The sequence below is a fragment of the Homo sapiens genome, chromosome 9 (assembly GCF_000001405.40).
Source record: "Homo sapiens chromosome 9, GRCh38.p14 Primary Assembly".
In the NCBI taxonomy this organism is placed as follows: Eukaryota; Metazoa; Chordata; class Mammalia; order Primates; family Hominidae; genus Homo; species Homo sapiens.
The window spans coordinates 107,874,233-107,888,380 of record NC_000009.12 but is presented as its reverse complement, the minus strand read 5'-3'; the positions used below and the strand labels follow the sequence as shown (position 1 = coordinate 107,888,380).

The following is a 14,148-nucleotide window of genomic DNA, read 5'->3' as shown; positions in this document are numbered from 1 at the left end:
GAGTGAGACTCCATTTCAAAAAATAAAAAATAAAAATAAATTTTTAAAAATGTAAATAAAAAAATTAAAGCAAAAAATCAGATGAAGAAAATATCAAAATTTTAAACAAAGACAAGATCTAACTCTGTATTTGCATAATGGCCTTATAGCCTAACCCTAATCCTGGGCCTGAATCCCCAAATTATTTCATGAGTCCAGGCTTGCTCTCTGTGATTGTGAGCTAAGTCTTTGCCTCAAGTTGCTTGCTCCTTATCTCAGGGCAGAAACGGTCTTGCTGTTTCTGAGCTATGTAGCTTGAAGAATTTGTTTGGCCTCACCTGTAAAATAGGCCTAGCAGGACATACAAGATTATAGTAGTGCTTAAGATAAAAGAGCCTCGGTACGCTCCTATTTCAGTGTCTGGAAGATAGTTAGCACTCAAAGAATGCTTGCTGGAGGTGAGGAAGGGCAGACGATATAGATAAAAAATAATTGTAGTTAAAGTTTATTGAACCCTTATAATGGGCCAGGCAAGTATTAGGTGCTAAACAAGTATTACTTCATTTACTAAAAGATAATTAAGATACAAAAAAAAATGATCATTAATGAACAGAGGGACTTTGCTGCTGTGGGATACTGATATGGTTTGGCTGTATCCCCACCCAAATCTCATCTTGAATTGTAGCTCCCATAATTCCCACATGTAGTGGGAGGGACCCATGGGAGATAATTGAATAATGGGGGCAGGTCTTTCCAGTGCTGTTATCGTGATAGTGAATAAGTCTCATGAGATCTGATGGTTTTATAAAGGGCAGTTCCCCTGCACACACTCTCTTGTCTGCCACCATGTAAGATGTGTCTTTTTTCCTCCCTTGTCTTCCGCCATGATTGTGAGGCCTCCCCAGCCATGTGGAACTGAGTCTATTAAACCTCATTCCTTTATAAATTACCTAGTCTTAGTTATGTCTTTATTAGCAGTGTGAGAACAGACTAATAGAGACACAAAGGAGTTGCATCAACATAGCCTAGGAATTTGGGATCAATTCCCAGAGCAACTGGCATTGATTGGAGCTAAAGTGTGAAGTGGCTAGGAGAAGACAGGGCAATAGGGAGGAAGGATGTTCGGAAATGAAAAACATGCCAGAAGTCCAGGCCAAGAGGTATAAAGTGCATCAAATCAGCCTGAAGCTCTAGTTAGCTCTCAGGTGAAAGGAACTCTGAGTGATGTGATTGATTTTTAAAGTAAAATCAACCATCATTCACTAAATATTATTTGTCTGGTGGTCAAACTCTTTTCAAAAACTGGATCTGTGGAGCAACAGTCATGCAACAGGCCCTTGCTGGTGAGGGGATGGGAAGTTGCCTCCAGGAAAGGTTTCTGATGTTTGGAAATGAGCAAAGTCAGGAGTGGATTGCATGAGATGAGATAATCAGCAATTGATTGGCAGGGTGCTTGTCTGTGGTGCTTGTCTGCTCTGAGCACAGAAAGGACCTGCTGGCCCCCTGGGCTGGGTGGGACATTTTCATACACTTCAACTCTGAGCCACTAAGAGGTCACCAGCTGTCCATGACTGAGCATGGCAGGAGTGCGGCAGAAAGACATCAGTTTGGATTCAGGTGATGGGAAACTGCTTTGCTGAGAAAATTGGCCTTGAAGAATGAAACATGCAGCTAAGTGGAGATGTGGGAGAGTTTGGAAGGGTTCGGAAGAACCCTGGGTAAGTAGCCAGCCAGAGGCAGCTTATTTCCCTGAGTCGGTCAGGACTCAGGACTTGGGGCCAGAGAGATCTGGGCTAGAATTCCAGCTCTACAATTTACTCACTGCTGGTCTGCTTGCAACCTCAGTTGTCTTATATGCAAAATGAGCAAAATAAGTTGATTTTTTTTTTTAGTATTAAATGAGATCAAGTGAAAAATGCCTAGAACCCAGTCGGTCAATACTCCCTACCCACGGCTGCACGTAGGAATCACCTGGGGAATTTTTAAAATACCAACCCGGGCCCAGTCCCAGAGAATCTAATGGAATTGGTATGGGGTGGGGCTTGAAAGGCATTAAAAAACAAACAAACAAACAAACAAAAAACTTCCCAGATGTTTATTTCATTCGGCCAGGATTGATTAGTCTATCTAACACTGCTAATTAAATCAGTTCCCTTGTCCTACCTCTAACTTTCTAAGATCCCTTAGAAGGGTCTCTCCTGTGCCTATGAAAACCAGAGTGCCTTTCAGACTTTGACATTTTTAAAGATCTAGGGGTTTTGTTAAAATGCAGATTCTGATTCAGTAGGTGCAAAATAGGGCCTGAGGTTCTCCAGTTCTAACAAGCTGCCAGGTGATACCAATATTAAGAGATTATGAGACTTTGCTATTTTATATAGTTTTTTGGCCATGGCATGGTGCTTTTATTAAGACAAGTGATTCTCCCTAGCATGTCAGCGTGATAAAGAATTTTGTAATGTACTTAAGTAAGTCCTTTCAAAATTATGATCTTTCTATTCTTGTCTCTTGATTTTCTTTTTTTTTGAGACGGAGCCTTGCTCTGTCACCCAGGCTGGAGAGCAGTGGCCGGATCTTGGCTCACTGCAAGCTCCACCTCCTGGGTTCACGCCATTCTCCTGCCTCGGCCTCCTGAGTAGCTGGGACTACAGGCACCCGCCACCACGCCTGGCTAATTTTTTTGTATTTTTAGTAGAGACAGGGTTTCACCGTGTTAGCCAGGATGGTCTCGATCTCCTGACCTCGTGATCTGCCCGCCTCAGCCTCCCAAAGTCCTGGGATTATAGGCGTGAGCCACTGCACCCAGCCCTTGTCTCTTGATTTTGTAGCTGTGAAGTCTTGGATCAGGTGCCTGATGGGGAGTCAGAAGACCCAGACTTGCTGTCTGCAGTGTGTATCTTGGGGAAGTTGTTTTACCTCATCTGTAAAATGAGCTTAATTATCATTTACATCATAAGGTCATTGTGAGGCTTAAGATAAAAAATGTTAAATAGATGCAATACATTTTTTTTTAATGGATAAAAGAAGGCCTGGGTGCAGTGGTTCATGCCTGTAATCCCAGCACTTTGGGAGGCTGAGGTGGGCAGATCACTTGAGGCCAGGAGTTCAGGACCAGCCTGGCTAACATGAAGAAACCTCGTCTTTACTAAAAACATAAAAATTAGCCAGGCGTGGTGGCACTTGCCTGTAATCCCACCTACTCAGGAGGCTGAGGCACAAGAATCACTTGAACCCGGGAGGCGGAGGTTGCAGTGACCTGAGATGGAGGCACTGCACTCCTGCCTGGGTGACAGAGTGAGATCTGTCTCAAAAATACATAAATTAATTTATGAATTAATTAAAATTTAAAAAGATAAAAGAGCTTGAAAGTGCTAGAGCACCTAGTTCACTGCCTGGAACGTAGCACTCAAGAAATGTTTGTTGGAACCAGAAAAATAATTTTAGGTCAGTTTTAGTGATGCTCACACATCGTGTGTAGGCATTAAGTGGGGGAAATTGACGTCCAAATTCAGTGGACATCTTCACAAAAGACACAGTATAATAATAATGCAGGCATTTAACTTTGACCTTAAGAGGAGAAAAGATGTCTACCGAAAACCAGCGTAAATGGACCCTCCAGATCCAACAAATTTCTATAAAATTGGAGTACCATTTAATGGATGAAAGAGATGAGGATCCAAGAAATTTTGTAACATGCCCAGTGTTGCACACTCAGAATATGAAGGAGAGCTGGGACGGTGGCCAAGAAAGAAGCCTGGGCATTACACCTGAGGGTCAGAACCACAGCTGGGTCCTCACAGGAGTGGCATGGTACTCCGTATGGGGTGGGACATGCTGCCTCCCTCTACGATAGCTGCTAATTCTAAAAGCTGGTATGGGGTGAAGTGTGGTACATACGAGGGAGCTTCGGAGGGGCAACACACAAAGTGGGGTTTAGCCCTAGGTTGTGGGCTAAACCACTACTGGCCAACACTGCAGGCTCTGCACAGCATGGCGATGATGGCCATGCTTCCAGTTGAGTCTTCCCGGAGAATCTCACTTGATGCCTGTTTTCTTAGCATAACTGTTAGTAGCTCACACTTTTGCTATCAAACATGTCCTGATCTGTGTATAAACCTAAAAGATTGCTCTAATGATAGCACCTTTCAGGCAGAAGACATTGATCTATGATTTTTCTCCTCCACCAGCAAATATCTTCATAAGCTTCCTAAAGGCCAGGCCTGTGTGTCCTCTCTCTGTTTTCCTGGTGCGACTGGCCCAAGTTCTGATGCAGAGTAGGCACACTAGAAATATTTGTTAAATGGTACTATATCAAGTAAGCCAAACAAATTCCCTGGTGCAGAGTTCACCTTCACTATGCCCTCCATAAAGTCATTAATTCTAAATCTCTGACTCTTCCAAGGAAAAGGACAACTGTCCTCAGAGCCACCGTGCTGTGTGTGAGTCAGAGGGGAAGGCAGAAGTGAAAGCAAGACAGAAAGCAAAGAGGTCATCCTTGCTGCACTGGGGCGGAACAACTGCAGAATAGGGACATGAATCCCCTCTTTCTACTGCAAGGGGAAACCCTGGCCTTGTTTCTCAGACCACCACAGCAGCCCAGAGCCCCCTGCACAAAGTGTGTCACATTCACCATCAGCCACTTAGCTGAGAAAACTGCTCTAAGTGCCCTAAGTGTAGCCAAGAGGCAATGGCAGGTTCCTAGGTGAGGAAGAGGACCAGTTGGCATCATTCTGTGTGAAGTCTGACCTTTCTAGATCTTGCTTTCATTCCCCTCGAGTACTCCCCTTGTGTTTGTTGTCTGTTCCTTAGGGAAAGTCCTTCCAGGTTGCTGTCTCTGCAACCTGATGGGAGCGTGCCTCACTCCCTTGCATCACCATTACATTGCTTTCCCCTCCCCAGCTTCTCATAAAGGCCACCTTTCCTTACATCAGTCATTATCAAACTTTAGTGTGTGAGGAGCACCTGGAGAGCCTATTAAATGCAGATTGCTGGGCCTCTCTATCCCTAGATTTCTGATTCAGCAGGTCTGGGGTGGAACCCAGGAATATGCTTCTCTAACGAGTTCCCAAGTGATGTTGATGCTGTTGGTCTGGGGAACAGACTTTGAGAACCAGGGCCCTGGAATCCTCTTCAGGAAAAATACCTCTCCTAGCTGCTGGGCCATTTCCTAAGCAGCAACCTTCCACCTGGCTGTTTCTGTAATCAACTGGGGAGCTTGAACACAACCCATACCCAGTCTACAAGCCATCAGCAGCCTTAGGGACTGCTCATACAATTCCAAAGTGCAGGCAAGGTAAAAAAGCACCGCTCTGCAGCCTGCCTTCCCAAACTTGATCTTCTTCGGCCCTTCTGCCAATCACAGCTGCCCCTCTAACCAGAAATGAGCAAGCCCACTTTCTCTTCCATGTGTTCTCACCTCATTGAAAAATCCGTTAGGATTACATTAATCTTCTTGGGGTAGGGGGTAAGGACTGGTAAGATTACAATTTGTGACACCATCAAACAATTTTCTTCAAATGCCCTTTCAACATTTTTTTTAAAGACACGTTCTCATTCTGTCACCCAAGGTGGAGTGCAGTGGCACAATCAGAGCTCATTGCAGCCTCAATCTCCCAAACAATCCTTCCACCTCAGCCTCCCAAGTAGATGGGACCACAGGTACACGCCACCACACCCAGCTAAGTTTTTTATTATTATTATTTTTAGTAGAATCGAGGTCTTGCAATGTTGCCTAGGCTGGTCTTGAACTCCTGAGCTCAAGCAACCCTCCTGCCTCGGTTTCCTAAACTGCTGGGATTACAGGTGTGACCCACCATACACCCAGCCAATGTTCAACTTTTTTTTAAGGGGGATGAAAAAAACAATTATTTTCTTTTAATACAAATTATATTCAATAAAAGAGTCTCCTGATAATTCACTCCCAAGACCAAAAGAGATTCTATGTTCATTTAAAAAAAGAAAAGAAAAGAAAAAAAAGAGGGGAGGACCAGGAAAGGTGGCCCTCACTTGTAGTCCCAGCACATTGCAAGGCCTCAGTGAGAGGACTGCTTGAGCCCAGAAGTTGGAGGCTGCAGTGAACTATGATTGTCCCACTGCTCTCTAGCCTGGGTGAGAAAGCAAGACCCAGTCTCTAAAAAAAGAAAGACATTTCCTATTTTTCTGTGGTTCTGAAACTACCTCCAGTTGTCTTTTGTGATTTTCTGAAGCAAAGTAACTTTTTGAGAGAATTACTAAAGGGCTTAAATTGAGATAATGAAATGAATCACTAAGATAAAGAACACTACATCAACAAACTCTTTGATTCCAGAGTCTCAGCTGACTGCTTTTGCCTGAGCATGTCAAAAAAATATATGCAGCTATGCAGCTGAAATAGGCAATTGCTAGCAGGGCCTTTTTTTTTTTTTTTTTAAACTTCCACTCAAAGACGTTTTGTCTTGGGTGAGAAAAGGACCAATTTACATTTTGCCAATTAAGTAAAGTGTTGCACCCAGATTTCTAAATAAATGACCTCCATATTTCCAATTCATGCCCAGGAAATTTGGCCCATGGATTGGTGCCCTGGGAGGTGGTCCAGCTGGCCTTCCCTTCAACCTTTGTTGGCTTCCAAGTCATTCACTCCATAACAAGCATTCACAGAGATGGATTCGATAACTGTCTGCTCACCAGAGGAGTGGAAGTTAAAAAAAAAAAAAAAAAAAGGCCCTGCCAGCAATTGCCTATTTCAGCTGCATAGCTGTATCTTTTTTTTTTTTTTTTTTGGGCAAAAGAAGCCATTTGTATATAATCATATTTACAGGAAGTTTAAGAACAGGAGACTTACTCTGCAGTGATTGAAGTCCAAACAGGGGTTATGGGGAGTGGAGTGTTGACTGGGAGGGGGCATAAGAGAGCCTTTGAGGGTATTGGGAGTGTTCGATACCTTGATCTGGTGGTAGGAATGTGAGTGTATTCATATGTGAAAATTCAAATTTAACTCAAAAAAGTAAAATAAAACAAAACCAGCGATTATTTTTAAAGCTACTCTAAACAGAATTTTTACAAGTCCATGTTCTAGAATGTTCACAGCACCTTTGTTCATAAGAGCTCCAAACCAGAAGCAACCAGCTGTCTATCAATTAAAGAACAAATAAATTGCAGTATATTCATACAATAGAATATTTTAACAGCAATAACGAATGAAATCATGATTAAATCAGGTTAAGATGACCTGATGGCCAGGTGCGGTGGCTCATGCCTATAATCCCAGCACTTTGGGAAGCTGAGGCAGGCAAGTCACCTGAGGTCAGGAGCTCAAGACCAGCCTGGCCATCACGGTGAAACCCCGTCTCTACTAAAAATAAAAAAAAAAAAAGAAAAAAAAAAAAATTTAGCCAGGCATAGTGGCTCATGCCCGTAAACTCAGCTACTCAGGAGACTGAGGCAGGAGGACTGCTTGAACCCAGGACAGACAGGCTGCAGTGAGCCAAGATCACGCCACTGCACTCCAGCCTGGGCAATAGAGTGAGACTCTATCTCAAAAAAACAAAACAAAACAAAACACACACCAAAAAACAAACAAAAAACAAGATGACGTGGTTATGAGACAGTGATCTCCTGCAAAGTAGGGCATGTGTCTTGGTCATCTCTGTTCTCAAGTTACACATGGGGCCTCAAACTAGGAAGGGGCCTAATAAATATATATCAGGTTTATGAATAAACTAAATTTTAAATAAACAGAAGGGATGGCCTATTTTTTTTCTCCCTAGAGAAATAGCAATTAGAGGTGAACCATCTAGTTCTGTAACATTTCAAGGGTAATTGCTTGTCATATCTGCAACAAATAGGAAAGATGAAAGTGAACAAGAGACAGAAGTGGGACTACTGGTGACAATTTTCTTCTCTTTTCAAAGGAATGCATTTCCCAAATTCTAAAAGACATACTGGTGACTCAGACATTGTCTATGTCCCATAATACTAAACTCTGAGATACAAAGTATTATTTTACTTTTCTTTGGCAAACTGTCCAGATATTTTCAAATATCCAGATGTTCTTCCTGAAATGACCCAAACAATGCTGTATCTTTGTCACACTGTATTAAGATATTTGGTATTATGGAGACAGAGCTTGGATTGAGTTGTAAATTCAGTAAAGATGGAGCCAAGAGCAGAAACTTTGATCTACTCACAGTACCCTAAACAATGCCTGAGAGATATGGCCCAGAGATGAATCCAGAAGATAGAGCTGAGATGTATGAAGTTATCAAAACCCAGCCATTCTGGAGTGCTCCCTGGTCAGCATGCTTCCACTGATCACCCAGTTATGTGGTGAAGGAGTCATCCTCCCTCATTATTCTAGCCCTTCTTGGACACGATGGATAACCAGCAACCTTTCCCAAAACATGCTAAGCATTTCACACCTCTAACCCTGAGCTTATGCTAACTCCATTGCTTAAAAGGCCTTTTCCCAATTCCTATCCAGCCTATTCTTTCTATCTCAATTCCCCAGATGCCCCTACCTAGAAGTGTTCTTTTTTTTTCCTCTTTCTCAATCTCCTCTCTCTGTCCAAATCCTTCCAAGAGTCAGCTCAAACGCCTGCTCCCTAACAAAAGTGATGTTGAGCTACCCAGATGCCAAGTTGTTCCAACAGTCTCTGCTTCTTATAGGGGTCACATGGCATTTTCTACAATTTAGCGTAACTTTTTATGTGTATCTTACTGCCTTCTACAAATAATAAGGGCTTTAAGGGCAGAATCTATATCTTACATATATTTGTGTTCTCAAAGAAAATCACAGTCAAATAAAATACTGGTTGATTGAATGTGATGATTCTTACTTATGACCTGTGGCCATAATCAGGAAGTCTTAAGTTTGAGGGAACAGTGGAACGAGTTCTGGATTAGGAGTCAGGCCAACCTGATTCCACACTGGATCTGCAACCTCCTAGCTCTTTGTCTTTAGACAAGTTCCCTCAACCCTCTGGGCCTCAGTTTCCCCATCTGTTAATTAAGAGTTGAACTAGAGTTAGTGTCCCCAGAACTGATGTAACAGAATAGAGAGGCTCAATTATGTCAACATTTTCCTTTTCTATTTGGGGCTAGAGATGAGTAATTACTTTGGGATATACCTTCTTTGTTCAGGGAAATGAACCTTCAGTATGCAAATTTCACAGAGATGGAAGTTACAACAAAATTTATTGTGCCTTTTTGACTTTGAACAAAGATGGCACTCCTTGAGAAACTTATTGCCAAAACAGATCCAGTCTTCTAGAAGGAGATGGATCAATTTGCATAAATAAGCCAGGGCCAAGATAGGCGTGGTGGCAGGCACCTGTAATCCCAGCTACTCAGGAGGCTGAAGCAGGAAAATTGCTTAAACCCAGGAGGTGGGGGCTGCACTGAGCCAAGATTGCACCACTGCACTCCAGCCTGGGTGACAGAGTGAGACTCTGTCTCAAAAAAAAAAAAAAAAAAAAAAAAAAAAAAGAATCCAAAAAAGAATCCAGGCTTCCCAAAATTTAAGGTAGGGAAGACCTGTTGGAGTGGGCAGGATGGCCTCAGCCATGACCTGATGGCAAGGTAGAACAACTTGATTCCTCAAATGAAATCATCTTTAGAGTAATAAGGTGTCCACGCCATGAGCAGAGAGGCTCAGCAGAAGAACCTAAGTGTCTATGGGAAGGGCTGGTCTTGTCCTGGTGTGCTCTCAGTGCAGGGAGCTCCCCTGGACCCAGAGCCCCAGACATAGCTGTTCTGCTTTGGGGAACAATGACTGAGCATGAAAGAATCAGAACAAAAAGACTAGTAAAAGCAGAAGTCACCTTGAAAGGGACTTAGGATGGGACTAACAATGGCATGCCAGAATGGGCAGGCCGGTATTCTCAAGAGCAACTTGGAGGCAGGGAAATACAGTGCAGCAATGGTCCTGGGTAGGCACAGTGCTCCTGGATAATTCCAGGGAATGGGACTCTCTGCTAACAGGGCATTTGGGGCTTAAGCAATCAGCTGAAGAACTAGGAAAGATCTGATTATAATCTACTGACTAGGCAACACATGGTAGTTCATGCCTGTAATCCCAGAACTTTGGGAGGCCGAGGCAGGTGGATCACCTGAGGTCAGGAGTTTGAAGCCAGCCTGGGCAACATGGCAGAACCCCCTCGCTACTAAAAATACAAAAATTACCTGGGCATGGTGGCAGGTGCCTGTAATCCCAGCTACCCAGGAGGCTGAAGCATGAGAATCACTTGAACCCAGGAGGCAAGGATTGCAGTGAGCCAAGATCGCCCCACTGCACTCCAGCCTGGGCAACAAAGCAAGGCTCCATCTCAAATAATAATAATGATAATAACAATAATCTATTGGCTAAATATTGGCTTAATATAAAACTCAGATCTGTGTGCTACTCTGTCTCACCTCAGAACAAAAATTCCATTGTCAAATAACTTTTATAATCATAGTTAACTACCTGCTCCTCTTAGAGATCTACCACAGATTTGAGGCATTTGAAAGTCTGAGAACTCTTACAGTAAAGACACCTGTTTAACTTTATTTGAAGTCAGCATTCCAGAAATTTATTTGAACTTAGAGGTCTCCATCATATCCCTGCCCCTTTTCTCATGTAATCCTCAGAATCCTGTAGAACTTGGTTCCCTGGAACACACTTCACAAAATATTAGACAGGGGGATGGCTAAAAGACTTTTTAATGTAACCTAATAAGGATTCTGGGTTCTAGTTTTAAAATTTTTTAAAGGAATGCTAATGCTACAGAAAACCCTTCCTTCTAGTCCCCATTGTGTATTTCTGGAGCAAACGGCAGTGTCAACAGCAGAGAGAATTGAGCTAGAGTCTGAAATGGCACCTGGGAAATGCTTTCAAGGCATGAGTTTGGAAGCCCAAAAGGAAACCTAAATGATGGCAAAGGCAGCACCTCCACCTGAAGCAGTGAGTGGTTGTTCTCAGAACCCATGAGAAGCAGGTCCCCAACAGCTCCCAACCCACACCTTCAGGAGTAGAGTGCTATTCCTACACAGCTCCTGGACCCTGGCCAACGGAAGACAAAGAATTACTTTCTAGATACAAAGATGATTTCCTCCGTAACATTTCTTGGGTGTTTTTGTTTTGAGAAGCAGAGTCTCATTCTGTCTCCCAGGCTGGAGTGCAGTGGTGCCATCTCAGCTCACTGCAACCTTCTCCTTCCAGGTTCAAGCGATTCTTGTGCCTCAGCCTCCCTAGTAGCTGGGATTACAGGCCTGAGCCACCACTGCCTGGCTAATTTTTGTAGTTTTACTAGAGACAGGGTTTCGTCATCTTGGCCAGGCTGGTCTCAAACTCCTGGCCTCCAGCGATCCACCCGTCTTGGTCTCCCAAAGTGCTCAGATTACAGGTGTGAGCCACCACTCCGGCCCTAAGTAAGATTTCTTCTATGTAATCAGTGTTTCTTGTCATGTTGTGGAGTACCTGCAAGTCCTTGAAGATTCCCATTGGAACACAAATTGTTCTTTATTTGCCAGACAAACAATTCACCAAGTATTGATCATTCTATTGCATATTCATGTTACCTCAAAAGGCTAATGAGCTTTTGAGATTTGGGCTTTTAATTTTAAGCCCTTAACTGGAGGTATTGATGAGCAACTATCAGAAATCTCTTGATTTGCATGTTCCCCCATTTCTTGCCCCCATTTCTCTACATTGCAGTCGCAGCATGACGCTTTCCTGAGAAATTGATTCTCTCCCACTCCAACTAGGGGATGTTGATGGGATGGTGGTTCCCAGTTTGCTTGTAACAACAGGGTCTGGTTAAAACAAGATTGGCGGCTTCCTAAAGAGTCTTGGCTCTTCCCTATCCTACAAGTGACTGCAGGGCTGACTTATTTCTACATCCCCAATATCCTTCCTGGCCTGATATGTAAAGGCCCTTGGTCAATGTTTAGTGAACAAAAAAGGGTTTTATCCAGCTGAGACATGAACTCAGGGAAAGGCAAGGACATTTTTTCTAGAACTGGGGACAGGAAAGCCTTTTAGAACTGAGCAGCCAATCAGAGAATACCTATCAGCCAGACTAAGAAGCTGAGTAACTGGAGAATTGAACTTGAGCTGCTTCAGCCATGCTCCGGCTCAGATAAGGGTTTCTTCCCAAGCCTGGGGTAAGGCTGAGACTCTCACTGGGAGTCAAGAGGCTCCAGCTGTCAGGAAAGGAAGGTTGTACTATCAGGAAGCCAGGCAGTGCCTGACATTGAAAGGGGTCCCTCTTAAGGGTGAGTCACCTACAGATTTTTCTATGGGCTCTTTGAGCTCTAAAGCTCAAAGTCCTCTGCCTGTCTGCTGAGAGGGGCTTCCTGACCTTTCTCCCTTCATCCATTCTCTCTCCCCTCTTTCTCTGTTACCTCCTTGACCATACAATGGCAGGTTACAAAAAAGCCGCAAATTCCAAGCTATATGTAGCATAGAGTGGCTGTTTGTCCCAAAATACCACGTCGCTGACTACAGCAAACACAAATTACAAGCTTTATCTAATCACCGTTATGTGACCAGTCATTTTTGGTTTCCAAAAATGACAGCGAGTGGCGTGCTTCTGCAGCTGGTGGTGGCACCCACTTGGGTTTCAGATCTCAAGTGCACACAGATGCGCATGGAGCCCAGCATTCCAAGTGACCAATTCAGAAAGGGAAATAGGAGAGGGAAGAGAGGAAGTACAACTCGCCAGATACACAGACACCACTGCTTTGGACCTCACAAATAAATTATTTAAAATCATCCAATTGCTTTGCCACTGTACCAAAGAGTATGAACACTCATCTGCCAGGCACGCAGTTGAGTAAGGGAGAGCTAATACCAAAGTGGTCATCCAAAGGCTGCGCAGAGACTGGAGAAAATAAAGCTTGTTTGGAAATCATTGATTTAATTTGGGGTTTGGAGTTGTTTGCTTCCTTTCCTTTTCTTTTTGCCAAGAATAGATGGCAGTGGTATCAAGGAAGTGGTGCTAGGCTTGGCTGGAGTCTGGAACCTGGGTTGTCTTAGGACCGTGATCCTAGCACATCAGCCCACTTCTCCGAGTGGCCTTGTGAACAGCGTAGGCTGATCATATCACCCTCCTCCCCGAGTTGATGGGATGGGAAGATGAGGGTGCATGTGAAAGTGGGAGCCATACATGTGGCCCAAAGTGGCCTGGATACGAGGAATTTAACCACGTGCTAGGAGCTAGTTCTCTTTCTACATCATTTCATCATAACCATTCTGACTGCTTCTTACATGTATGTGGGCTTTCAATCGCTAGGAAGAGGCAGAGAGGAGCCCGTGACGAACTTGGCCTGTGATTCAGATTGTCAAATACCACCAGTCAAAATAAACCGGTCTTCTGCCTAGATTCCAGGGCACATGTGCACATGCAGAAGGCATTCCTCTGTAAGTTTTAAATAGCCCAAAGATGTGCTCGAGTGGGACTCTCTGTCAAAATATAAAAGCATTTAGGAAAACAAGGTCCTTTAAATACCTACATTCCTTCATATCAGATAGAAATCGCATAAGACCTCTGTTTCCAGGGGATCTGACTTGCCAGGGCCAGCAGAGGAAAGAAGAAGGATGGACAACTGCACTGCGCTGAAAGTAATAACAATGAAACATGAACGGTCCGAACTCAAGCTGACTTTCACTTCCCTAAACTATAAATAAATCAGCATTTTTTTTTCTTTACTTCAAATCCACGTTTGTCACCTCCCATCCATGGGTACTTTAAGAGAAAGAACTGGAATTTCAGCATTTATCTGTGTAATGCTAGAAAACTCAACTCTCCCCCTCCCCCTGAAAAGAGAGGAGGTTGAGCTGTGGAGGCTTCCTTTAAGCTCTAGCATTTGCTTCTATTGAAGCCACTTCTTTGGCCAGTGGGTTGGAATACGTGGGACATCTATTCCATCTAATTGGTATTGTTCCTTTGTGTCCTATGACACAAAGTGACATCGCTGTCCTTACCTGTCATCATACCTCTTGGAAGCAAATTAATTTCTCACACCTCACATTTATATCAGTGGTATAGTTAACTTCACATCGTCATTTCTCAGACTGTGCCACGCTGAAAAGGGGACAGGACCTCTGGAGCTGAGTCAACCTATGCACCAGCTACAGTACTGATGTCTAACCCCAAAGCAGCTGCTAACAGAAATAACAGTAACAACAACAAACTAGCAATTGTGGGGTCCCTA

General features: G+C 43.6%; 3 annotated features.

Annotated features, from left to right (window-relative positions):
* Positions 4,368–4,507: an enhancer, noted in NCBI's record as "active region_28755". NCBI's record gives its function as "activates an Ori minimal core promoter by ATAC-STARR-seq in GM12878 lymphoblastoid cells {active_cell/tissue: GM12878}" and the evidence as "EXISTENCE:reporter gene assay evidence [ECO:0000049][PMID:35858748]".
* Positions 13,342–13,441: an enhancer, noted in NCBI's record as "active region_28754". NCBI's record gives its function as "activates an Ori minimal core promoter by ATAC-STARR-seq in GM12878 lymphoblastoid cells {active_cell/tissue: GM12878}" and the evidence as "EXISTENCE:reporter gene assay evidence [ECO:0000049][PMID:35858748]".
* Positions 13,472–13,571: an enhancer, noted in NCBI's record as "active region_28753". NCBI's record gives its function as "activates an Ori minimal core promoter by ATAC-STARR-seq in GM12878 lymphoblastoid cells {active_cell/tissue: GM12878}" and the evidence as "EXISTENCE:reporter gene assay evidence [ECO:0000049][PMID:35858748]".